Genomic DNA, 27766 nt, shown 5'->3' on the forward strand with positions numbered 1-27766 from the left:
CTTTCATAACTCAAGAGAGTCCCCGTGGAAAACTGGCCTGAATTTATGACCCGGCTTACTGATTAACTCATAGGATTGTTACAGCTAAATAAAGCTTAATGAGTAATTTTTAATCTATCCCACTATGTGGGAGAAGAATATCACTTCTTTACATTTTAGAAGTAGAGCCCCAGACTAAATAACCTTCAGAAATTTGTCTTTTTTTTTTTTTTTTGGTGAAAACATTCTTTATTAGTAAGCAGACATTTGAAACTTTTTGATTACATGCATCATGCAAAATGACTGACCTCACACATGGTTGTCTGTTCATTGTGACATCTTTTTTGAGATGATTACAAATTTAAGATGACTGCAGTAGTAAAAATAATTCATGAAAATGACTCTCAATGAAGCAAAACACTACATAGCACACATGAAATACTGTTCATCCCTCCTGGATGTTTAATTCTCTCCTAACGTAAATCTCTATTTTGGAAGACTATTATTTACAAAAATGGCAGTTGTTTTTGTATGTGCATCTATAGGCACTGAACTGATATGAACAAAATTTCAAATAATTTTACAAGGTTTGGTTGTTTTTTCCTGTTTTGTTAATCCAAAACAGGACAATGCCCTTTGATTTACAATGTTCAGTTCTTTTAAGAAATCATTTTCTTTGGAAGATGATTTTGACCCATGAAAAAGTTGTTTTACCCCTGGTAATCTTTTTGAAATGGGGCTGGCTGTTATACATTATACAGGTTGTTTTCAGTTAAGTGAAAAGGAGTTGGGCTTGTCTTGAGAAGAATTCCTCTAAATTATGGCACTGAGAAAACTTCTCTGCAGTGGTGGGCTCACCACTTCCATCCTGTGGTAGTTCTGGTAGCACTCCTGGTATGAAAACCCTAGCACAGGTAATTTCACCTCTTTGAAATAAGCAGTGATCCTGGAGAAAGGTGAATATTCCAAATCTAGTAGCATATTCAGGTCATCTGGCAGAGAAGTAGGCATAAAAGACTTTTCTAGGTACTTAGAATGCTGCTGTAACAAATATCTAAAAATGGAAAAGTGGCTCTGGAATTAGGCAGTAGGTCGAGGCTGGAAGAATTCTGAGGCGCATGCCAGAAAGAAGCCAAATTGCCTTAAACAGACTGTTAGTAGAAATGTGGAATGTTAATGCTAGGGAGGCCTTGAAGGAAGAAAGGAGTATAGCAGAGAATACCTCGATTGCGGTAAAATATCTAAATCATCATGAATAGACTGTTGGTAGAAAATGAGGAATATGTTATTGGAAAACTGGAGGAAAAGGGGTCCTTGTTACATAGTGGCAAAAAGCTAAGCTGAATTGTGTCCTGCAGTTATGTGTAAAGCAGAATTTTTAAGTGATGACTTCAGTATTAGCTGAGGATATTTCCAAGCAAGCTGTGGAAGGTACAGCCTGCTGTCTTCTTGCTGATTATGGTAAAATATGGAAGGAGGTAGATAAATTGAGGGAAGAACTGTTGAATATAAAGAAACTAGGACTTGATTTGGGAAATTCGTGGCCTATTCAAGGCAAAAGCCACTAAAACTAAGAGATTCACTGTCAGGACAGCCTTCTCTAGAGAAAGTGATGAAGGTATGGCTGTATAACCTTCTGCTAATACTTCAGAAACATCAAAAGGTCTGAGTATCAAGTCACACAAAAGGCTCTTTGAGGAGATTAAGAGTGTGAATCATAGATCCTCCCAGCTATTTCAGAAAAAGCCAAAATTAGAGACGGGATTTTCCAGGAAAGATATGTGAGGAGCCTCCTGTGTAAATGAGTGAATCCCCATGACATATGTAAGAGACCCACAAGTTTCTCGACAATGTTATAGCAGCAGAAACACCACTATTTTTAACAGAATGCTTTAGAGAATATAAAAGAAGAAACAAACTGATAAGCTGATACTCAGCTGCAAACATGTGCTACCTTTTGTGAAAAAGTAAAGATGATTGAGACAGTCACAAGCCCAGAGAACTGAGCAGTGAGCTGAAGATTACTCCCAGGCCTTGAAACTGAAAGGAGGGTGCCTGGCTGGTTTTGTAAATTGATGGTGCTGATGGCTCCTTTTTTCATCCCAATTTCTGCTTTTTGAACAGGAATGTGTATAGCTGTTACTGTATGCCTGTCACACCATCATACATGGGAGCAGATAACTTGTTTTCTAGGTTCGCAAGTGCACAGATGGAGGAGAATTATGCCCCAGAAATCACACCCAGATCCTCTCCCAAATTTAGATGGCTTTAGTGTGAGATTTGAGACTTTTGAGTTGGTGAGACTCAGATAAGATTTTGGATTTAGAGTTGATGCTGTAATAATGGGTTGTGACTTTTGAGCACCTATGAGTGACGTAAATTTATTTGTGATGGATCTGAATCTTTTAACACAGGGGTGGAGTGGTGGCGGGGCGGGGGTTGCACTGTAGTAGGCAAGAAGAATAATGTTCCATGTAAAACGTTAATGTCCTAATCTCCAAACCTGTATGTAACCTTAAATGGTAAAAGAGATTTTGCAGATGTAATTAAGGTTACTATGGATTTCAAGACGAGGCGATAAGCCCAGATTATGCAATGGGACTAATTTAATCATGAGTCCTGCAGAGAACCTCTCCAGGGTGGTGTCAGAGAGATGTGGTAACAGAAGGGTCATAGAGATGAAACAGTGCTGGTTTTTAAGATAGAAGGCCGCAAGCCAAGGAATGCGGATGTTCTCTAGAAGGTGGAATGACAAGGAAATAAATAATTCTCCTATGCAACGCTGCCGACAAACTGATGTTAAAAGCACCGCGAAACCCGTTTGGACTCCTAACCTATAGAATTGTTAAGATAATAAATTTGTGCTATTTTAAGCCACATTTTGTAACTTGTTATGGTGGCAATGGGAAACTAACCAGAAGTGATAACTAAGGATGAAGTGGTGTCTGGGAAGAAGGGAAACCTTCTGACTTCAGAAATACAAACATTTATGCTGGTAGTTCTTTAGATCTAGTCTGTCCGACAGAATATACATTCCTGTATTTCTACACTAGTCTTGTTCTGGAGAAGACGTTCTAGGTTGAGCACATAGAAGAGTGTTTAGTGTATATAGTGAGTTTCCTAGAAAAATGTGTTGAATGAATAAATGAATGTGATCAAGGCAAGCTCTGGGAGGAACTGTAATTACTTGATTTTAAAATGCTGTTGCTGTTTATCATATCTTCTTAAGAATTGCTGACCTTTAGGCCAGGTGCAGTGGCTCACGCCTATAATCCCAGCACTTTGGGAGTCTGAGGTGGGTGGATCACCTGAGGTCGGGAGTTTGAGACCAGCCTGACCAACAAGGAGAAACCCCGTCTCTACTAAAAATACAAAAATGAGCTGGGCGTGGTGGTGCATGCCTGTAATCCCAGCTACTCGGGAGGCTGAGGCAGGAGAATCTCTTGAACCTGGGAGGTGGAGGTTGTGGTGAGCGGAGATAGCGCCATTGCACTCCAGGCTGGGCAACAAGAGCAAAACTCCATCTCAAAAAAAAGAATTGCTGAACTTTATGTGTTTCTGTTTAAGTTCACAGCAGTCATAATTCTGCAAAATACAAGGCAAAACTGTCGTTTCTGATACTAGTAATATATCTAAATCAGTAAGTAAAAAGGATGTGTAACATCTTAATAGGAGAAATAATTATTGTATGATCAAACAATTTCAAAATCAAACTAGACACTTTTCAGTATTTACTACAGACAAATTTTCAACTTATTTGATCAAAAGATTTCTTAATGGCTGTTAGTCAATGCTGCATCAAGAAACTTTAGTGCAAATTTTACCAAATGCATTTATCAAAAAGGGGTTTTCATTTTTTTCTGCAAACAAAACATTAACACTAAGTATGTAACAAACTGATTTGCCTACAAATCCAAAAACTATCAACATAAGCCAGTCCTTCAACTAAAAACTCAAACATACTTATCTTAAGGTCTATTCCTAATCCAGATTTGTCTATATTCAGGTTGGAAGACAGAATAACAATAAAACCAAAATTTATCTGTAAAAATAATAAAAATAATTTGTTTTTTTTTTTTTTTAATGCTGGAGGTATTGTCCTTATTAATACGACACATCATCTGTTCCCACATGGTACTGCATGGATAGGAACAATATTATTTTAGTTGATGGAGTAACACAGTGTTAAGAATATCTGCTTCTAGCAGTGTCAGGCTTTCATCTGTTAGCTCTTTATTCGGAAATGAAGTCACAAGAATAAAGTCAAGAGCTGCAAATTCAGGACAAGACTGTACAATAAAGTTCCGGACATCCAGGATCCTGTGTGTACTATTGAATCTTTGTATCAAACGACTCCCATCTGCTAACCTGATTTGAATTTTTGTTGTTGGCACTGAATCATCAATAAGAACAACCGCGTTAAGTATTGATTTATCCTCCTCTTCTGGAGAGGAAGGTGTACTGACTATTTCAGGTGTAAGCCTTCCAAGTTTTTGCCCTTCTCCACTAAAAGCCTTGAACCTCAATCTAGGTTTTATGTATTCTTGATCCTGATGGTCCTCCATATCCCAATTCACTTGGCCACCATGAACAAGGCACTGAAGCTCCAGGGGGATCTCTCCTCTTTTAACAAACTCCAGAAATTGAGCATTTGTTGGTTCATTGTAAGGTCTCAATTCTCCATCATCTAAACTGAAACCATTGCTCCACAGTTTAAGCAAAATCTGAACATCTTGTAGCTGATTTTCTCCATGCATATATTCAGACCGCTTACAAAAGGAATTACCCAATCTGTATCCTCCACCTGTAAATGACATTGAGGTGGTGTCCGTGGGCTCTTGAAGACTGCAGCTTTAGGTCTGTCAGACTTGGAAGATTTGCGCTTCACTTCATCTTCATACAGTTCTTCCAAGGCCAGTTTATTTCTTGATATGTCATCCCTTTGGCTGTTTTCAAGTTTCTTTGCAGGTTCTTCACATTAAGTTCTGCAAATCCTGTGCGCTCGGAGGCCACAGCCTGGAAGATCTCCTCTCCTGCTCACCGAGCTCAGGGCCGCCGCCCTCCGCCATCTTCCGCTGGCTGTATTTGTCTTTTTTTTTTTATTTTTTTCGACAGGGAGTCTTGTTCTGTCACCCAGGCTGAAGTGCAGTGGCGCCATCTCGGCTCACTGCAACCTCCACCTCCAAGGTTCAAGCGATTCTCCTGCCTCAGCCTCCTGAGCAGCTGGGATTACAGGCATGCGCCACCACACCTAGCAAATTTTTGTATTTTTAGTAGAGACGGGGTTTCACCATGTTGACCAGGCTGGTCTCGAACCCCTGACCTCAGGTGGTTACCCACCTTGGCCTCCCAAAGTGCTAGGATTACAGGCGTGAGCACCTGGCCCAGAAATTTATTTTTAAAAGTTTAATAGTTTGTTTTATTATTGCTTATTGAGTGATTTAGTAAATATTCTGTCAGGGTTAGCTTGAAATACAAATTTTAAAATGTGTATTTTAAATGTGTATTTCTGAAAATGGTATTTCAGAAATATGTATACATTCACATGGAAAGATGTTAATTATAATCTTAGTGACAAACTCTTAGAACCTGTAGGAAGAACTCATTTTTGTTTCTATGTCTACACACAAGGGTCTGGATGGATTTATAGCAGGGTATTAACTGATGATTTCTGGGTAGATAAGATGCCATGTGGCTAACATTCTTTTGCCTTGTTTTGTTTTAATAACATTTTTTAAAAACTCAATTTCTCAACTGAAGAGAAAATAAGCAAATAATACCTTTTCAAATTATTTTGAAAGTTCGTATTTTTCGTAGCTTTTTTCTTACTCTTTTTTCCGTATGACTGTTGCGTATTCTTAGCAAATAAAACTCCACAAAGGCAAGAAAAAACGTTAACACTCTTATCAGGCATATGGTAAGGATTTTAAATATCTCAGAGATAGGGTATCTATTATCATTTTCTAATACAGCTTCCCTTTTCAACAGTATAGTCTTTTTCAGAGTGAATTTTTTTTATTTTTATTTTATTTTATTTTATTTTTTTGAGTCTGAGTCTTGTTCTGTCACCCAGGCTGGAGTGTAATGGTGTGATCTCGGCTCACTGCAACCTCAGCCTCTCAGGTTCAGGCAATTCTCCTGCCTCAGCCTCCTGAATAGCTGGGATTACAGGCGCCTGCCACCACGCCCAGCTAATTTTTCTATTTTTAGTAGAGACGGGGTTTCACCATGTTGGCCAGTCTGGTCTCGAACTCCTGACCTCAAGTGATCCACCCGCCTCAGCCTCCCAAAGTGCTGGGATTACAGGCGTGATCCACCAGGTCCAGCCATATTTCAGAGTGAATTTTAAGTGGAAATTTGCTCGAACATTAATGACAGACAGCATACTTAGTTACCTGTCTTAATTGGTCTCCTTTAACTTGTATTATTACCATTTTTTCGTTTTTCCAATATTATTAAATATTTATTATTAAGTAATATTTTCCAATAATATTAAATAATATTTGTTGGAGACCCCGTTTGAGATTCTGCTCTTACTGGAATGAATGCAGTGTGCCCCCACTTTGTCATGGCGTGTGACTGATAAACATCATGCATGTTTTCATAAAATCATAATACTTCTGAGCTGGAAGGACCTTAGAACAGATGTATCACTGCCCCTTCATTTTCTTATGCAAACATTGCTTTTAGCCTACATGACATTGGAAAGATGGCTGGGCTGAATGATCTAATAGATTCTTTCTAGCTTAAGGTTTCCTGATTCTAGGAAATTTCACATGCTCTTTCATGCTTTTACTGTTTTTTCAGTGATGTACCCTTATTGCCATCTGGATATCTCAAAATGCATTACATTAAAATAAGAATGGAGTTTAGTTGTTGTTTATTTTTAATCAGTACTTCATGATTCCTATGGTGTACTCAGAAAGTGCCAATATGGAACAATGCATTTGATGTTTTGGATTGAGTGCAGGAAATTACTCGACCAATCAAATATGAGATTTTTTTATTGGATTTTGAAAGACCTCATCTCTTAAAAAAATATTTATGCTAGCTGATTACACAATTGTGGCTAGAATGTTTATCCTGTCACAAACATGCAGTATAAAACAGAGCTAATTTAAATGCTCATGCATTCTTCACAAAGTTCATCTTTTTTAAATCTAATATTATAGAGGAAAAGTTTTTAATTTTTATTTATTTTTATTGTTTTGAGATAGGATCTCACTTTGTCACACAGGCTGGAGTGTAGTGGTGCAATCTTGGCTCACTGCAGCCTTGAACTCCTGGGCTCTATCGATTCTCCTACCTCAACCTCATGAGTAGCTGGGACTACAGCCACCACACCCAACTTTTCATAGAGATGAGGTCTCACCACATTGCCCAGGCTGGTCTCAAACTCCTAGGCTGAAGCAATCTGCCTCCTTTGGCCTCCCAAAGTGCTGGGATTACAGGCATGAGCCACCGTGCCTGGCCTAAAAATCTTTAAGATACATTTTTTTAGATTTATTTTTGAGATGTTAACAGCACATTTTTTGTATTTCAAGAAAAGTGACTTGAGTCCGTCACTAAATATTTTACAAATTTTAAACGTGTTAAGTAGGCCAGGTGCAGTGGCACACACCTGTAATCCCAGCACTTTGGGATGCTGAGGCGGGTGGATCACTTGAGGTCAGGAGTTCAAGACCAGCCTGGCCAACGTTGTGAAACCTCATCTCTACTAAAAATACAAAAATTAGCCAGGCGTGGTGGCGGGCACCTGTAATCCCAGGTACTCAGGATGCTGAGACAGGAGAACCCCTTGAACCCAGGAGGTGGAGGTTGCAGTGAGCCAAGATCGTGGCACTGCACTCCAGCCTGGGCAACAGAGCAAGACCCTGTCTCAAAAAAAATAAAAAGAAAAGTATAAGCAGTAATAACAATAGTAATTATAATATTGTGATATATTAATACGATATGTAGCAGAGGGGGAGCAGGTTCAACTTGTGCATGAAAACAGCTTATATCTTTATCTTTTGGGGTAGGTCTCACAGCCACAGGGGAGGGAGGGCGGGCTTTCCTAGCTTGGTAACAGCACAGATTTACACCTTTGGGAGCCGTGTCTCGGTGTCTCATCAAATGGCTGGTTGTCTGAGGCAGCTTTTTGTGGTATTAGTACAGAGATTTGCTAAATTGTACGTTGATCTTCAGTGTATCGCTTTTTTTTTTTTTTTTTTTTTAAGAAATGTTTTGAATAAGTAATTGCTTTACTGTTCTGTGTTTTTCTCCTATTCCTTTTTAGGCTTCTCTACAGTTTAGCCTTTAATGCCAGGTTTCTGAGACATCTTTGGTTTCTAATATCTTCCATGTCAACACGGATGATCACAGGGTATGTATTATACAGACTTATAAATTGAGCTCAAGGGCACAGGAAGTGGCAGCCTAATCAAAAATGTTGCCAGAACCTGTTTTTAAGTCCTGTTTATACTGGGCTTATTTCATATTAGAAGGTAAGTTCCAGATGGTCTCAGTTGCACAAAAAGAAAAATCAGTGTCTAATCTTAACAGTTACTTATCTGTATATATTATAGAGAGTATGGTTTTATCTGAAGGTAAGTTTCCTTTAAACATCCTAGCCATGTTTTTAAAAAAGCAGACATTTGGAAATTGCTTTGCTCCATATGACTTTACTCCTCTTTTCACAGTGAAAATACAGATTTGAAGTAAATTAAAGACTGCTGCAAACATTAGAACAGTGTAGAAGTTTTTAAACATTTGTTGAAATAATTTGATTTTTCTTATTTGAATCGTGTAATTTAAAAAATATCATCTTTGACTTAACATATTTTAACTGAGTATGTAATAGGTAGGAATTTCATACTTAAAATCCTTCATGGTAAACTGACTTAGCCTAGTACTCTGTTGTTGAATTTTTCCTCTGCCAGAAGTCTAAGCCGGCCGGGCGCGGTGGCTCACGCCTGTAATTCCAGCACTTTGGGAGGCCGAGGCCAGCGGATCACCTGAGGTCAGGAGTTCAAAACCAGCCTGGCCAACATGGTGAAACCCCATCTCTACTAAAAATACAAAAATTAGTCGGGCATGGTGGTGCGTGCCTGTAATCCCAGCTACTTGGGAGGCTGAGGCAGGAGAATCGCTTAAACCTGGAAGGCGGAGGTTGCAGTGAGTCGAGATCATGCCACTGCAGTCCAGCCTGGGTGAGAGCAAGACTTCCTCTCAAAAAAAAAGAAAAAAAGAAGTCTATGCCAATCCCCCTGTGCTGTAATCGGAAAAGATGAAGTGTGTAATTCAGTTAATTGGAGACTAAACTTACAAGATGCAACTGTGTGTCATGCTCATGGTAGTAGTGATAATAGCAGTCACTGTTACTGACTCCATGCTGTGAACCAGCTCATTCGGTGGTGGGAAGACACATCTCAGTTGTAGGGCAAGAGTGTAGAAAGTGGTCTTGTTTTCTTTTTAGGAACAAGAAGTTAGAAGAAAGAATTTTTGGTGGGTTGGGGTGGTATATCTAAAATATAAACACACTCATCTGCAATCTAACTTGCTGTGTGCAGTCATAATGAAAACTCTTGTTGAGATTTCTGGATTTTGAGCTTTTTCATGCAATATGTAGAGCAAAAGATATTCATATGTTGTTCAGCCAGGCACAGTCAGCCCCTTTATGATGGGACTGGTGTTCAAATCATCTGGACAAAACAGTTCATACTAATGAAAGGGGAATGTCAGTTTCTCAATATTATTACTTCAAATTTTTCATTTTTTTAATTGAATCTTAAGTGAGGAAAGGGGAGTTTTACTGCTGCCGCTGTGACTGGTGAAACTCATAAAGGTTAAGTGAGTTATCTTGCATCAACAGTGGGTGGCTAAAGCAGAGACAAAAGACTCCTACAATGATTTACTGTCTTGAGAAATTCTTTTCTTTCATTTCCAAACCAAAATACAAGATTTTAAGTATGTTTTGTTGTGTTTTTTTTGGTGCATTTCAGCCACTTCTGACTACGCCAGCTTTGGTTTTCATTAGTGACAGGTTTGTTTTGGGCAGAAGGGAATTGAGAATCATTAGGACAGGAAATTATCGTTTACCCATAAGTGCCTCAGCTTAGCAACAGAAACACTGTCATAGTTCTGCCTGATAATTGCTTATTTGTTTATGGCATTTGTCTCTTGCTAAGGAAATGGAGTCATGGTGTGTGAAAGAAAAGTGGGATATTGTTAATTATATTAAATTATTAATACTATTTTATGATAGGGTAGTTTTACAAATCTTATTAAAAGACAGTTTGATAATTTGAATGTCTTTTTACTTGTTTATTAGAATGAAGTCCCTCAAGAAACTGACAGTGTATTAATGCGTTCCCAATACAGATACTCCTTGAGGTACAATGGGGCTTTGTCCTGATAAACCCATTGTAAGTTGAAAATATCATAAGTTGAAATGCATTCAAGACACCCAGCTTACTGAGGCCTCACAGCTTAGCCTAGCCTACCTAAAACGTGCTCAAAATATGTGCATTAGCCTACAGCTAGGCAAAATCATCAAACACTAGGCCAATTTTATAATAAAGTGTTGAATGTCCATGTAATTTATTGAATATTGTACTGAAAGCGTAAAAACAGAATGGTTTATGGATACTCGAAGTATGGTTTCTACTGAATGGGAATCACCTTTGACCATCTTGAAGTTGCAAAATCCTAAACTGAACCATTGTAAGTCAGGCACCATCTGTAAATGTCTCATATTTCCTACTGGGAATAAAGTTTAAAATGAAATAACTGATTTTCTGAAACTGGCACTCAATTTAAGTCAAAAATAGTTTAACAGTAAGGCTTGCATTGCTAGGACTTACAGCTTTAGTGGGCAGAAGTATCATCAGGGGAGCGTGTTAAAATGCATATTCTCCTGAGACGAGATTGCGCCATTGCACTCCAGCCTGGGTAACAAGAGGGAAACTTTGTTTCAAAAAAAAAAAAAAAAAAAATTTCAGCTTCTCTGTTCCTGCCCTAAGACTTGGGTTAGAAACCCTGGAGACTGCAACCTCACAAGCTTATCAGGTAATCGAGGTACAGATGGTTTGGGGGCCAACCGAGAAGCACTATTCTTCACCCCAGTCTAGCAGACCACATTTAAACAATCTCCAGATGGATAGTGAATTTTGACACATCAGACATTTTGCAAATAACATCTTTATTCATTTACCTCATTTTCAGTACTTGCTATTGAAATCAGCCAGTTTAGTTTCCTTCTTCTTGAAGATGAGGGAACCCATAGCCAGCTGGTACTGTTTTCCATTAGGCATCCCTTGACTACAACATAACATAGAGATGCTTTGCCCAGATGTCTTCAGTGTGGGCAGTAGGTGCTGGTGTTGGCTGTTTGATAAATAATCTCAAAACAGTCTACAGTAGTATTCTGAAAACCTGTTAAAGCAAGAATCCGTTCTTAAAAGCTCTTTGCAAGGGTGGGGGACATTGGACGAGGAGGAGGAGTGGTTCCCACAGGCACGCAATTTGAAAACCCTTGTTCTCAAGATCTAGACAGAGGTTAGGGATTGCCTCGGGTCTCACTGATGGTCAGTAATTCACCTAGCTCCCCTGAGTTATGTGTGAATCAGTGTCTTTTCCATTACAGTAAGTTGCAGACTTTATTTGCACATAAGTCTTTGAGACTGACCTGTTTTCAGAGGAATATTTGAGTCAGTGTTTATAGCAGAAAGAATGGTCAGCAGAGAACTAAGAGACCTGTGTCTCGTTTGTGCCCTGTCTGCAGGGCAGCATTGGCACATATCCTTGCCAATCCCAGTTTTTGTCATTAAAGTAAAAATGATGCATTCCTTTTGCTTGTTTCACAGGGGGTTTGAAGAGGACAAATAAGTTTTTGTTGGTTAATTACCCTGTCCCTTTTTTTTTTGGACCCAATATAAGAATTTTATGCATCCTGCAATATGTGTGCATAACTGATGATGTGTTGGTGGTGATGATTCTTGTCAGGGATAACAGTACAAGTACAAGGATTCTTGTCGGGGATAACAGTGGAAAGCAGGCTCATCAAGACGCAGGAGTGGGCTCCAGCTGTCATAGGCAGGGCTGTTGAAAGAAGCCACCCCTGTCCAGTTAAGGCAGCCCTGTGCCTTTTTTATCCTCCATATAAACAACCTTTTTGTGTCATCCTGGCTTTGGCAATGAGGTAGGACAATTGTGCTTTGTCCCTTTTTGAATGTCCCACAATGTTTAAATTTTGGAAGAATGGCATTCATTCATTGATGAATCTGTTCAGCATAGTGCTAAATGCAGAGTATCACAACTGCAAACATGGATCATGTATGCTCAGGTTGTGTAGCATGTGGACATAGTGTATCTTCTCTGTGGGAACACAGTTTCAGGTGCACATATGGGTTCCTTTTCTCAAAGCGGTTGATGATGGCAGTGCCCTCCCCTGAACCATGCACCATGGAGACTCAGAAGCTCCAGGTGGCTCAGCCAAGCTCCTTACGGCCCCGCTAATTAGAACAAGTGGCCTTACCTTCTGCTTTGCTTTCATACATGATTTGTAGATCCTGACTCCTGGTTACATCTCATCTAATATATACCTGTAGTTTTGTGGAAATGGATATTTGGGGAGATAAGAGAGTGATCTTGCTCACAGTGTCTGTTAACCTGTGATTGATTTGACTTGGTAGAGGGGACCATGGACTTTATAGAAAGAGCTTGCAGGTGAGCCTATTAGCTAAAAGTTCCATAAGACAAGGAACCAGACTTAAAAACGAGAGAAAAGGAAGAAGTTCTAGGTGAAATAAGTCAATTTAATATATCGTAGCTCTTTTTTATTTATTTATTTTTTTTGGAAACGGAGTCTCGCCCTGTTGCCCAGGCTGGAGTGCAATGGCACGATCTCGGCTCACTGCAACCTCCGCTGCTCGGGTTCAAGTGATTCCCCTGCCTCAGCCTCCCAAGTAGCTGGGATTACAGGCACGTGCCACCACACCCAGCTAATTTTTTGTATCTTTAGTAGAGATGGGGTTTCACCATGTTGGCCAGGCTGGTCTCGAACTCTTGACCTTGTGATCCACCCACCTCGGCCTCCCAGAGTGCTGGGATTACAGGCGTGAGCCACCATACCCAGCCTTTTTTCTTTTCTTTTTTTTTTTCCTTAATATTTTAAACTTCTTTGAAACAGAGTCTGGCTCTGTTCCCCAGGCTGGAGTGCAGTGGCGCAATCTCAGCTCATGGCAACCTCTGCCTCCTGGGCTCAAGCCATTCTCCTGCCTCAGCCTCCTATGTAACTAGGAAGGACTACAGGCACCTATCACCACACCTGGCTAATTAATTTAATATATCATAGCTCTTGATGGGTGAAAGGCTGCTGAGTAAAGACCACCTTAGCTGCTGTGAAAGCAGGAGCAGGATGGGAGCTGGTGAATAAAGTGGACAGTGGGAGCAAGGCCACCATAGAGAACTGGAAACTTTGTTTCTTGAGGTTCCAGTTTGGCTTCAATATTGAATAGCTTTCAACGTTACCAAAAGTTAAGTCGCTGGATAAATTTTTCCTGAGACCAGAATGATTTGCCTTTATTAAATATGTTGAGTAGAAGGGAAGGGGGATGGTTTCCTCATAAGAGTAAAGTACATGTGTGTCTTGAATAGTGGCCTTATTAGAGCTCTTCTTAGGGCCTTAGTCTGGGAACGACTGGCTTACTCTTAGTAACTTCATTATCTAGTTGGTACAGGTAGCAGAAACCTTAGTGAAGATTAATGGGTTGGTATGCTATTTTTTGTATTAATCTATGCTGTTTATTAACCTGCATTGCCATGGTGACTTTACCTTGCCTTTAAATAGTTTAATTCCTAATGCAAATGTTACTTTCCCTGATTATATTTGTTTGATGTTATGTTTTAATTAGTTCCCAAACTAAGACTAATTTTAAAGTGACTGGTTTTTTTCTTCTTTTCTTTAATTCAAGGTCTATGGTACCGTTGCTTCAGGTGATATCCAGGGGTTCTCCTATGTCTTTTGAAGATTCTAGTCGAATCATCCCACTCTTTTATCTTTTTAGCTCCTTGTTTAGTCATTCACTAATTTCCATACATGATAACGAATTCTTCGGTGATCCCATAGAAGGTAAGGATTTTGAGAAACCAGTTTGCTGCTGGCCACTTGGCCCATCAGTTTTCATAGACAGTAGAAAAGTTTTAAGCTTTTTAAGTCTTTCAGTGTGTGTTAAAAGATGGAAAAAGAAACAATAGAAAACTGGATTGTGTTTTTTAGTTGTAGGTCAAAGACAATCATCAATGATGCCTTTTACTTTAGAAGAGCTGATAATGTTGTCTCGATGCCTTCGAGATGCATGCCTGGGGATCATCAAGTTGGCTTATCCAGAAACCAAGCCAGAAGTTCGAGAAGAATATATTACAGCATTTCAGAGTATTGGAGTTACTACTAGCTCTGAAATGCAACAATGCATACAGATGGAACAGAAAAGATGGATTCAGTTATTTAAGGTATAGAGTATATGTATTTTTTTGTTTACTGACATTGAAAAATGTACAAACTTTTGTCTTGACTCGTTGCAGAGGAATAAAAATGCAGGTTTGTTTCAGACATGTTTTAATTTGCAAGACTTTTTTTTTTTTTTTTTTTTTTTTTTTTTTTTTTTTTGATACATGGACTTGATGTGTCTCCCAGGCTGGAGTGCAATGACACCATCATACTCCACTGCAGCCTTGAACTCCTGGGATCAAGCAATCCTCTCACCTCAGCCTCCTGAGTAGCTGGGGCTACTGGCACATGCCACCACACCCAGCTAATTTATTAGTTTTTTTGTAGAGACAGAGTCTCACTGTGTTACCCAGGCTGGTCTCAAATTCCTGGCCTCATGGATTCCTCCTGCTTCTGCCTCCCATAGTGCTGGGATTATAGGCGTGAGCCACTGCAGCTGGCCTATATACCTTTTTAATTAAGAAAAGTAATTTTAGTACTTTTGATTAATTAAGGTAATTTAATTAACTAAAATTACTTTCATTTTAATTTACATTTGCCTCACTTAAAACCATGTTTTTAAACCTTGTTACATGCATCTTTTCTATGTGGCCCTAACTACTTAACTGTGACACGATGAAATATAAATACAGTTTTTAAAATGTTTTTATTTTTCACTAAATATTTCTTAGATTTTATTGTTTTTTCAAACCTTTCAAAAATTGATTAACAACGTAAAGTAGGTCATTAATTTTTAATGCTAGTTGTATATAAATTATTTTAACATATCTTCGTTCTTAACCAGAAAGTGAAGTTTTGAGTTACTGTGGCTGGAATGTTGGCAGGAAACCACCACCAGTGAGAATGTAACTGTTGGGATGGAAAAAAAGAAAAGGAAAAGGGTGCTTGACTTCCCATGAAATTTCTGCAGCAAACACATCTAGTCAGCTAAAATTGCTCATTAAAGGAGTGAGAGCAGAAGAAATGCATTTTCCAAATTGAATGCTAGATTTACAGTCCGTTTAATACCAGCGACCTCTCGCACACTAATGTTCAGTTCGAGTCATCAGCTGTCCCTTTGGGTCTTTTATCACTGCTTTTGTCAAGCTATCTATTTAATTGAAAGAAGTTAATTGAATGAAAATGATCAACTAAGCTTGTATTAATATTGCTAATGGAACTTTCTTCTTGGCCATGTTTGGAGAAAGATGTCAAGCTAGACTTTAGGAAGGGCCCATTAATGCTTGCACTTAACCTGATGGGCTAATTAAGGAATGCTTATTCATCCTCCAAGTCCACGAGAGTCTCTCTCCAGCCCGTTCTGCCTGGTTTTACAACACATTTCTCTTAGGAGCATGAGCATTAGCAGCAGCAGCCGTAACTGATAATGTTTTGATTGCACTGAATACAGTCCTAATGCATCGTTGAATTTATAATTTGGGCAGATTGATGTAATATATGTTTGCACAATTTATTTTAATTACCTATTTCTGTATTCCTAAGTAAACTGGGACGGTCACATGGTAAGCCTTTACTATATCCTTTCTTAAAGATTGACAAATTTGCAATTTTTCTATGTTAAAAAATAAGCAGTCTCACCTATTTAAAACTTATAATTCTTACATAAGCTTTTCCTGGATGTGGGTGTTAACGGTAGCATATTTGTTTTCCTTTCAATATTTGATTAAACCCTGGGGTCTTTGTTAATAAAGCTTTCCATGATGTGCAATATCAGGTGTTGTGTATGATATCAGATAATTTCACTGTTTTATGGCATCTGTTGAGAGTTTCATAATTTCCATGACAGGCTTATCTTTAGTATGTAGAAATCTCTGAACTTAATAATGCCATATAAGATATTTTCCACCCTGGCCTTATTTTGTTTTGGTTAAGCGTTAAATGAAAAGTTTGTACAGAATTTTTTTATGCCTCAAAATGACTCCCTGCCACTTTATTCATCATTGAAAGTTTTAAGAGTTAGGGCAAGGCCGGGTGTGGTGGCTCACGCCTATAATCCCAGCACTTTGGGAGGCCAAGGCGGGTGGATCACGAGGTCAGGAGTTTGAGACCAGCCTGGCCAAGATGGTGAAACCCCATCTCTACTAAAGATACAAAAAATTAGCTGGGCGTGATGTACGCCTGTAATCCCAGCTACTAGGGAGGCTGGGGCAGGAGAATTGCTAGAACCCGGGAGGCAGAGGTTGCAGTCAGCCGAGATAGCGCCACTGCACTCCAGCCTGGGCGGTAGGGTGACTCTCTCTCCAAAAAAAAAGAGGGTGAAAATTTACCTTTTTTTTGTTGGTGGTGGTGATTGTTTTAGGTTTGAAATCAAGTTGTTGTAAGACCTTTTGAGTTTAGAATTGTTTAAAGACCTTTTTTTTTTTAAAGGATTTCTGTTCTTTGGTCACCTGTCCCCCAAACCATTTTATGCTACCTGCTATTGAGCTGAGCCCCCAAAATAAAAATCACTGCATAATTTTTGAGTAATCAGCTGCTGTTAGCTGTTCTTTTAAGAAAATACTATCTCTATTATGAAGTTGTATGAACTTACACCTCTGTAGTTAACTGTGTTTTAGGCAGTATTCTAAGAGTTTTGCATATATTCATTTAATACAATAGTTCTGTGAGAAAGATACTATAATTTGTTTTACAGATGAGGTCATGTATATGATGGTAGAACCAGCTGCTATTCTACACTCCCCTTCTGAAAAGAATACAAATTGTATCAGCATTTTTCATATTATTGTTGTGCCAAATTTGAGTTGAAGAATTCGAGGTAGAATCAACCAAAGAACGCAGAAGCGTTTAGCCCATGATCTCCTGCCTTCCATTGATTTTGACAGAATTGCAAACGATGAGACCTGACTCCTTCAACACCGACCATTTTCATTTTTCAGTCCTATCATGGTCCTCCCAAAGTCATTTGTGTGAGAGGCTCTGCTGGCTGGTCACAGAGCATAGAATTTTAAGTGGATAGAGTCATCTTTCTTTGTCACTGTAAGAATTGAGGTCACTTTCTAAGCCCTGTCTTGACACTGCTAAAACAGTTTATGCATTTATCAAATTTATAAACTCCTCTTGAAGTGTAATTTAGAGCTATAATTACTTTAGCTTGATGAGATAGGAAATCCTGTTTTGAGATGTCTGTGTGCATCCACCAAACTTAACAGGAGTTTCCTCCTGTGATAGGGAAACAGGAGGAAGTGGCAGGGAATGAGGAGGAAGGTTCCCATGCCCTCATTATCCATATGTCTGGAGAGAGAGAGAGAGAGAGAGAGAGAGCCATACTATGAGTGATTTTTTTACTTCCTTAGTGGTTAAGTTGTATTTTTTCAGTTCCAAAAAGCTATTTTTAAAAAGTAATAAAGCAACAGCAGTGCCCTGTTAATATAATCCTAACATGCGACCATTTGACTATGTTACAACCAAGAGATCCAAAGCTTGTAGCGCTGTGCCTTATCCTTTTCTGTTATTGAAGATTTTGATTGATTTTGTTTTTGTTTTTTGACTACTAAAGTGGATGCTATATGCAGTAATTTTATAGTGTTTTAAATATGTGCTGAAGAATACTGTTTTTCAAAATACTCCAGTTTTTAACCCGTTTGTGCCAGAGGTTGCGAATTTTTTGTGTGAAAAATCAGGCCTTGGCAATGACCTTGAGCAGTAGAATATAAATCCCACAAGCTTAGCGTTCCAGTAATGGAACACTAGGCATAAATGGGTTAACAAGTGGTAACTAAGGGCTATATAAAATTTGGTTAACCCTTGACAGCAGCAGTGCATACCAGATACTTCATGACTTTCATAGGTTAGAGTGTTTTATTCTCAGTTATTTGAACACTCACAGTATTCATCCCACCCATAGTGACACAGCTCTATGCTAAGGGATCATAAATGAATTCACACAGGGTGCCTGTTCCTGCAGTATCACCACGTAGTGAAGGAGACATGCATTCAGCTAATGACAGTGGGAAACAGCAAACCACAGAGGCCGGTCCTGTGGAAGCACACAGGAGAGAAGCACCAGCTGCTGCGTCATCTGGCACTTGACTCACTTGAGGAAAACGGTTGTTTTCCAACGAGGTCATGTTCTTAGAGCTTTTTCTGACATGTTACTTTTATATATTCTTCTTATGAAGTCAAATTGTAAAAATCCATTCTCATTTGATGTATTTCCCACATTGCACATTTATTGCACTTCAGAACCTGGAAATTGTATGCTAAGTATGCTTTGTATTTTGCTTTTTAAAGAACTAACTCATCTGGTTTCAGGACTAGATCTACTGTAGAAAGAAAAAAAAAAATTAACTCAGTTGTTTGGTTTTAGTTACCAGATTTTACATATCACATTTAAGATAAAAAAGATACTTTTATTTTATGTTATGATGCAATTTAGTCTTTCAGTTGCCCTTCAAAACTTGGACTATATGTACTTAATTTTTTGGTTGCAATACTATATCTAAATATCCGTCATCTCCATACAGAAATGTCACAATTTAGGATTAATAGCCTTGTCATCTAATTTATATATACATTTGTGATAATATAGCTAGTGCGTAAGAATATTTCCCCAAGGTCAGTTAAGCAAGATTTTCTTATGATCATCATTGCCATGAACTCTCAAACATAGCGATCTTGTGAAAACAGTGCCTGTTAATTTACAATGTTTACCTTGAACAGTTGTCAAGTGTGATTTTTATAAGGAGTTGGTATGTTTCTAAGCAGTTATCTACTTGATCTTTTTAATATTGGGGTTAAGGGAAACCTGCTTACAGCATCACCTATTTTTCATTCAAATGGCACATAATAGAGCATGTGTAACAGTTGTGTACCTTTGTGGGGTTTTTTTGTTTTTTGTTTTTCTTTTTGAGACAGGGTTTCGTTCTGTTGCCCAAGCTGGAGTACAGTGGCTCGATCTCACTGCAACCTCCACCCCCCAGGCTCAAGTGATTCTTTCACCTCGGCCTCCTGAGTAGCTGGGACTACAGGCATGTGCCACCACACCCGGCTAATTTTTGTATTTTTTGTAGAGATAGGGTTTCACCATGTTACCCAGGCTGGTCTTGAACTCCTAGGCTCGAGTGATCTGCCTGCCTCGGCCTCCCAAAATGCTAGGATTACAGGTGTGAGCCACCACGCCCGGCAGTGTGTGCATTTCTGAATAAATTTATTAGTACTTGAATAATGTATTAGTTTCTGCATTTATTTAATGTAACGTTTTGATCTGGCGTGGAAGAACATGAGAGGAGGCACAAGAGTTAACACATCAGATGGACATAATGCTATTGTATTTCAGAACTTAAAATCCACTAAAATTTGTATATTCAGCTAGATACAGCTAGTTGTTCCAGTGTTTGCTATCTTACTTCATATAACTTACCACACTGGTTCTCAAGTCGTAACTACCTATCAGAGTCATCTGGGGGAGCAGTTGAAAACTCGACTGGCTCCACCTCAGACTAATTGAATTGGAGTCAGTGATGGCGGCACGCCTGTGGTGGGCTTGTCTTAGTGCTCCAGGTGATTCTAAAATGCAGCAAAGGTTAAGAGCCACAGGCCTAACCCTGCAGATAACTCACTTTGAGCACATTTAGTCACTTTATGTGATTTGGCATGGTTGCCTCTACAAACTTTCCCTTTTTGGTGCTAGATACTTGTAGAGCAGTTGAGTTTGTGATTCTGAAAGTGAATGTGGAAAAAAGGAATGTGTTAAGGTGTTTCGAGATCACAAAATGGATCCAGTCAAATTTTCATGTTTATATTTTTCATTAAAACTTAGGAGAAAAATAGTTGATATGAAGGAGGGAAAAATGTTCTCAGTTGAATTTTAAGGTTTGGTATTTGATATTCTAAATAAGTATTTTGGGAATTGGTCCGGGACTAGTCATGCCATATTTAGCAAATAAAAAGACAGGTCACCTAGTTAAAATTGAATTACGGATAAATCACAATTACTTTAAAAAATGTAGTTATGTCCCATGCAATATTGTGGACATACTTTAAAGAAAGCAATATTTTGGACATACTTCTACTAAAAATGTATTATTTGATATAAATAAATATAAACATATTATTTGATGTTTATTAAACCATCCATTACCACAGTGCCGTCTATCTTGATATCCCATCCTTAACATAACTCCCTTGGCTGGACTCACTTTTTTACCTTCTCCTTTCCTCCTCCTTTCTCCCCATCTCCCTCCACCGCCTTTTTTTGATTGACCAAGGATCCATGGTACTGGCATGTTATATTGGTAACATGTGATTACTTCTTTTTTCATATTTAGGATAGGAAATATGAAAGAGGATACACTATATTGAAATTTTTTTAACATTTAATTGTATAATAATTTAGTAGAAGAATGTAAATGAGAACTTAATTGTCTCATATAATTTGATAATGTTTGTAATCTGTAGAAAATATATGTTCTTATGAACAGAGATTGAATAGAAATAGATATCTAGGAGTTAGGCAGACCTGATCTTTCCGTTGCCTGACCTGGAGCAAGTTACCCCCTCAATAAAGCTAAGTTTCCTTGGGGATGATAAATTCATGGGGACCCCAGGATTCCATGGGATGATGCAATTAAATATGTAAATATGTCAGAAAGGATGACCTTTGTTAACGGTTGGGGTGATTATGAAAGGGCTAATTTCAGCATGGTAACTATTAAATCTGGATTTATTTAAAGTATCAATTTAATTGGTCACAAAAATGGAAAGACCAGACACGAACATCTTCATACAAAAAGATTGTACTTCTGTTCCTTTTAGAAGGGTGTGTGCTCTGTGTGGACTACCTGAATTTATCCCATACAAGGATAGCACATGTAATTAGCATAGCTCATTGAGATTTCATCTTTGCTTTTGAAGAGTAAAATGAATGACTTTCAAGAATTAGTGTATTAGGTCAATGACAGTACTTTGTTTCAGCCAAACAGTTAACCAGACAGAACTAATAATGAGGCTCTCCCCAGGCTGCCTAGGCTGCATAAGAAACCATTAATTGTAAGATGTTGTATGTGCAGCTAAGCCCCTGAGCAACACCATAGAGTCAAGGGTCAAGGAATAGCTGACTCCAGTTTACCCTGATTAGTTCACTAAACATTTCCACTCGTTGAAGAAGGACGGTATTTCCATAGCGTTGTGATAGGTTTTAAAATGCCACAAGAGAATCGCCACTTCTAAATTGGCACGAAATACCCACCACTTATAAAGGTGCATCTTTGATCTTGAGTGGGTTTTTACTATGCAGTTTTATCTGCATGACCAAATTGCTCGAATAACACTTTTTCTCTGTCCACGGGTAGGTCATTCAAGGGGTGTCCACATTGTAGTGGCCTGAGATATCAACCCAAGTACCCTTCCCCTTTTTTCTTGGGCACACAGAATTTCTGGTATCCCTGCATGCCTTGGATTTGCATTTCATAAAATAAGCATTTGTATTTCATTGTATGTAAATGCTAAATTATGGAATTTTAAAGGGAAATCTCAACAATTGATTGTGTGATCTTTATAATGTATAATATATCCAGTATAGATTAGATATATTATAAATTTATATATTATATATACTAGATACATAGTATATATTATACAATTTATAACTATAATATAAATTATATAAATTAGTATATATATAATAGATATATATTAGAAATGTTATTTCTAATCTAGCCGGTGGGTATATTATAAATCAGATTGTCCTGATTTTGTTTTTTCTGTGGTGATTTCCGTTGTCTTTAATTAGAGGCAGCATGCATACAGGCCTGGCCGACTTTTTCAGAAAACGCCGTCTTGAGCTCTGTAGTAGTTATATGATCCAATCCTGGTTGTAGACATTTAAAATGTTGGATTTACAATTTTGGTTTATCTTTGTTTATTACAAAATGCATTTCTATTCGGTAGAGAACTTCAGGTCTTTTTAAAGTAATGCTATTATATCTCTTTAATCATGTATTATAAAATTTACAATTATTGATCTCAAGTCAGTCATTTAGTACCTGCTAGGTTCCAAGGTGGCTAGTTGGATTCTATTTGTGAGGAACTCACTGCACAACAACCAGAGAGGAACTGTTCTGAAAGAATATTGTAATTTTTTAAAACCATAATAAAATACTAAGCTGTGATGACATAGTGAAGTGTGTCCAGGCCAGCCTGTTTGGAAAGGTTATCAAGGAGATCAGACTCGATTTTTCTGGAGTTAAGATCACAGATCTGACTCCATTTGCTTACGTGAGGCAAGTGCTGCAATTGTTTTCTCTTTGGGAGATGTGACAGTGATATCTGGGGTGCTGCTTTTTTCCCCTAGTGCCGTTAGTACATTATTTCTCAGAAAACTCAGAAATACTCTTTCAGGAAAAAGTTGTACAAAATTGCACCACTTAGAGGTATCTTTCATTAGAACTCAGATGAGCTAAGACATTTCCAGATTCGTGGGTTTTTTTTTTTTTAATATTTTAGGTTTGGGGGTACATGTGAAGTTTTGTTACATAGATAAACATGTCATCGGAGTTTGTTGTACGCATCCTTAGATCACTCAGGTATTAAGCTCGGTCCCCAGTAGTCATCTTCTCTGCCCTCTCCCTCCTCCCACCCTCCCCCTTCAAGTAGATCCCAGTGTCTGTTCTTTCCTTCTTTGTGTTCATGGGTTCTTATCATGTAGCTCCCGCCAAATTTGTGTTTCAAAGCTTAATCGCCACCTCCGTTGTAACTTAAAAATTATCATGTACATGTGTTTGTGTTGTTCTGCACATATTTGTTGGCAGATAACTGCTTTGTATACATTATTGTGATGGCAAAAAGAAGCCCTTTTCTGTGAGCGGGTTTGGTGTCCGGCTCGACCTGGGTTCCTGCACCACCGCTGTGTGCTCCTCCTCGAGTGAATGTATGGCTCACTGTGCATTGTGCTGCCGAGCTCACGTGTGTGACGCGGATATGTTCTTTCTTTTCAGGTTATCACCAATCTAGTGAAAATGTTGAAGTCCAGAGACACGAGGAGAAATTTTTGTCCTCCAAACCACTGGCTGTCAGAACAAGAAGATATTAAAGCAGATAAGGTGTTATTGAAAGATCTTTTTAATATTTATCATTAAAAAATACATTCAGCTTGTGTCTTTCTGGAGAGAAGAATTAAGCACTTTAAAATTATTTATTTTATGACTCATATGACTAAATAGTAATGATAAACCTTATTACTAACTCTTACGCCAACTTCTTAATGGAACATATAGCAGTATCATTGACTTAAAATGATATTCTGAGTTATTAATCCTCAATTTTCCTTTTTAACCTGAGATTATATTAAAGCCTTAATGATTCTTTGTGAGGTTGAAAAATATTTTGCTTTTATTAGTATTAATATATGTCTAGTATTTAAAAGAGATAGATCTTATACCTAATTTTTGTGATTTTTTTTTTTTGAGACGGAATCTTGCTATGTTTGCCCGTGGTGGTCTCAAACTCCCAGCCTGAAGTGATCTTCCTACCTTGGCCTCCCAAAGTGCTGGGATTACAGACGTAAGCCACCACACCAGTCCTTTATCCTTGATTTTCTAAAAGAACAGAGACAAATTTGAATATTACTAATACCTACATCTAAAGCAGATTCAGTAGTATGATACGTTAGTAAAAAATTTAAGTGGCCAGGCGCGGTGGCTCACGCCTGTAATCCCAGCACTTGGGGAAGCCGACGGGCAGATCACTTAAAGCCAGGAGTTTGAGACCAGCCTGGCCAACATGGCGAAACCCTGTATCTCTATTGAAAATACAAAAATCAGCCGGGCGTGGTGGCAGACGCCTGTAATCCCAGCTACTCGGGAGGCTAAGGCAGGAGAATCACTTGAACCTGGGAGACAGAGGTTGCAGTGAGCTGAGACTGTGCCATTGCACTCCAGCCTGGGTGATAAGAGCGAAATTCCGTCTCAAAAAAAGAAAGAAAAATGAAAGAAAATACAAATATTAGCCGGGCATGGTAAGTGTCCCCCTGTAGTCCCAGCTACTCAGGAGGCTAAGGTATGAGAATCCCTTGTGCCCTGGAGGCGGAGGTTGCAGTGAGCCAAGATCGTGCCACTGCACTGCAGCCTGGGTGACAGAGCGAGATTCTGTCTCCAGAAAAAACAAAAAATATAAGTGATGTTAACAGAGGGACATAAGGTATTTTCAGTTCTTGAGAAAAAGTCGTAACTGGATTCATTTCAGAATCTTGGGAGTAGGAGATGGAGTGGTGGAGGGTATAAAAGAAACCATGTCGGCTGGGCGCGGTGGCTCATGCCTGTAATCCCAGCACTTTGGGAGGCCAAGGCAAGTGGATTGCCTGAGCTTAGGAGTTTGCGACCAGCCTGGGCAACATGGTCAAACCCAGTCTCTACTAAAATAAAAAAATTAGCCAGGCACGGTGGTGTGCGCCTATAGTCCCAGCTACTTGGGACTGAGGCTGAGGCAGGAGAATCGCTTGAACCTGGGATGCGGAGGTTGCAGTAAGCTGAGATCACGCCACTGCACTCCAGCCTGGGCGACAGAGCAAGATTCCGTCTCAAAAAATAAAAAAAAAAAACCATGTCACAGAAATATTCGAGGAGAGAAAACAGGAGTGTTTCAGAACAATTTTATAAGCATGACTATGTCCTCATAAGATATTTGTGAGTTAAGCCTGTTGCATCTAACTCTGCCCACTGACAAGGTAGAGCAATGGTGGCAGATCCCCCAGCAGTGAACAGTTCTGGGGCCCAGGCTGGGGTTGCTTCACAGCAAAAGAAGCAGTCCTGGCAGGGTGCTTGGCTCCAGGTCTGGGGAAGACCCTGCAAGATGGGTGTGGAGTGCTCTGTCATGCTGGAGAGCGAGGAAGCTATTGCAGGGTGGCTGGGGCTGGGAGACAGGGTTAGGAGCCTGTCTCTAGCTGGTCATGGGCAGAAACTTGAAGCATTCATGAAAACAGCTAACTCTGAGTTCGCAAGGGTGCTAACAAAACCCTTCGTCATCATATTTGTAGGATGCAAAGGAACCATCTCATTATTTTGAATGCTGTTTTGAAAAAAAGAAGTACTCAAGCATTTAACCCACCTTTCATTTATAAACTGTACCTCAGGCAAAACAGATAGTGTGTGATCTTTTGCATAGAAGTATTCCAGCCAATACTACATGAAAAGGATTTTTGCAAACTAGAATCAGCCTGTTGCAGGCTCTGGTGAAGGAGATGACCAGGGCGGTGCCACTCCAGGTGCAGCGCATGTCTAGGGTCTGCTGGTCTGAGATGGTGTGTTGGCCTCCCAGGAGAGGAGGGTCTGGTCCCAGAATGCAAATAGCTGCACCTCTTCCTTACTCCAGAAAGTTGTGCGATGGGAAAATGTCAGCTGAACCCAGCAGTGTGCTTAGTGATTTAATTGATTTATATTTTGGCACAAGTCCCTTATCTCATCACCAGCTGGTAGTACGGTGCACACACCCACACTTGAAGTAGGTTTCACTTCTGCAGTGAAAAGCAGAGATGGGGCCTCTCAGTGATCGAGCATCCCACACCACCTAGGAAACGTTCTCGCCAGAAAGTTAAATCTAAATGTGGTGGAACCTCTACATCTAACTACAAAATTACAGGAAACATAGGGGTTAGAAGTACATCTTTAACAACACCATGAGGGTGCAATTAGCAAAATCTAGATTATGGGAAATTTTACAGGATGAAAGTTTCTTCATTAAAAATTGCAAGGGTGGCTGGGCACGGAGGCTCACATCTGTAATCCCAGCACTTTGGGAGACCGAAGTATGTGGATCACCTGAGGTCAGTTCGAGACCACCCTGGCCAACATGGTGAAACCCCATCTCTGCTAAAAATACAAAAGTTAGCCAGGCATAGTGGCATGTGCCTGTAATCCCAGCTACTTGGGAGCCTGAGGCAGGAGAATCCCTTGAACCTGGGAGGCAGAGGTTGCAGTGAGCCAAGATCAGGCCACTGCACTTTATCCTGGGTAACAGAGTGAATGAGACTCCATCTAAAAAAAAAAAAAAAATTGCAAGGGCCAGCCGGGTGTGGTGGCTCACGCCTGTGACCCGGGCACTTTGGGATGCTGAGGCAGGTGGCTTGCTTAAGCTCAGGAGTTCAAGACCAGTCTGGGCAAGATAGCAAAACCCCATCTCTACAAAAAGTACAAAAATTAACCAGGCGTGATGGTATACACCTGTAGTCCCAGCTACTCAGGAGGCTGAGGTGGGAGGATCGCTTGAAACCAGAAGGTGGAGGTCGCAGTGGGCTGAGGTCGCACCACTGCATTCCAGCCTGGGTGACAGAGTGAGACCGTGTATCAAAAAATAAAAAATTGTAAGGACCAAAAATAAGGGATGAGAGGAACTGACAGATGAAAAATAACTTGAGAAAATATACTGTGTCTGTTTTATTTGAATACTGCCTCAACCAAATTGAAAAAAAAACTAGAAAGTGAATTTTTGATAATAATAACTTAATTTTTAAAGTGATCTATTTTGCTTCATAAAGCAATTATATTATTTTACTATGTTTAGATATTATGCACCATCAAATAAAACAATTAGAGATTTCTTTGGGGCATATTAGAAAACATAGTTAACTGTAAAAGTATGAAAGGACAGCTAGCATGAGAGAGGACCTGAAAAGGTAAAGCAAAAGGGGACATGAAGGTATGAGGTCAGAGAGAGGGCCCAGCCCACGGTAGAGAAATGTCCAGCACCAATTCTGTTCAAGTGTGATCAGGTCAAAGTGTGTGCTAGAGCACAGGGGAGTTCTGAACCAGGATTGCCCCCGACAGGTCACTCAGCTCTATGTGCCAGCATCCAGACATGTGTGGAGGTTCCGGCGGATGGGGAGGATAGGCCCGCTGCAGTCCACCCTGGACGGTGAGTTCTCTAGGACACAGGGTTACTGAGGTATGAATTACATGCTGTCAAATTCACTCCTTTAATCTACAGATCTGTTATTTTTCATAAACTTATACAGCCATGTCACTCCCAGCAGGAGCTACCATGTAGAAAAGTTTCATCACCCACAAAATTGCCTCTAGCTCCATTGCGGCCACCTCTTCAGCAGCCACCCATTTCTGTTTTGTCCTGTCACTTTGCCTTTTGCAAAAGGCCTCCAAAGGGAACCATGCTGTGTAGTCTGCTCCTGGCTCCTTTTGGTCAGCACGCTGCATTTGAGGGTGCTGTGTGGGTTGATTGTTCCCTCTGTTGCTCAGCAGTATTCCAGTGTGGGGATGCACCACAGTTTGTGAATCCATTCATTGGTTGAAAGACATTTGGTTATTTTTTCTGTCTCTGGGAATACGAGTACAGCTGCTATAAACATCTATG

General features: G+C 39.4%; 1 protein-coding gene and 1 pseudogene across 4 annotated transcripts in view; one reads left to right on the plus strand and one right to left on the minus strand.

The window, feature by feature from the left end:
• Window positions 1-27766, plus strand: part of UBE3C (ubiquitin protein ligase E3C) — a 130445-nt gene that overhangs the window by 54538 nt on the left and 48141 nt on the right. For 3 of the 4 annotated variants that reach the window (NM_014671.3, XM_005249564.5, XM_047421072.1), the window contains 5 exons: window positions 8258-8344; window positions 13935-14092; window positions 14240-14472; window positions 23404-23508; window positions 27226-27313. In NM_014671.3, the coding sequence (NP_055486.2) occupies window positions 8258-8344; window positions 13935-14092; window positions 14240-14472; window positions 23404-23508; window positions 27226-27313 (671 nt within the window). The remainder of the gene's footprint in view (window positions 1-8257; window positions 8345-13934; window positions 14093-14239; window positions 14473-23403; window positions 23509-27225; window positions 27314-27766) is intronic. The other variant, XM_047421073.1, reaches the window with a different exon arrangement.
• On the minus strand, window positions 211-5060 carry LOC777650 (UBX domain protein 2B pseudogene; annotated as a pseudogene).

Source organism: Homo sapiens, chromosome 7 (genome assembly GCF_000001405.40).
Source record: "Homo sapiens chromosome 7, GRCh38.p14 Primary Assembly".
NCBI classification, from domain to species: Eukaryota; Metazoa; Chordata; class Mammalia; order Primates; family Hominidae; genus Homo; species Homo sapiens.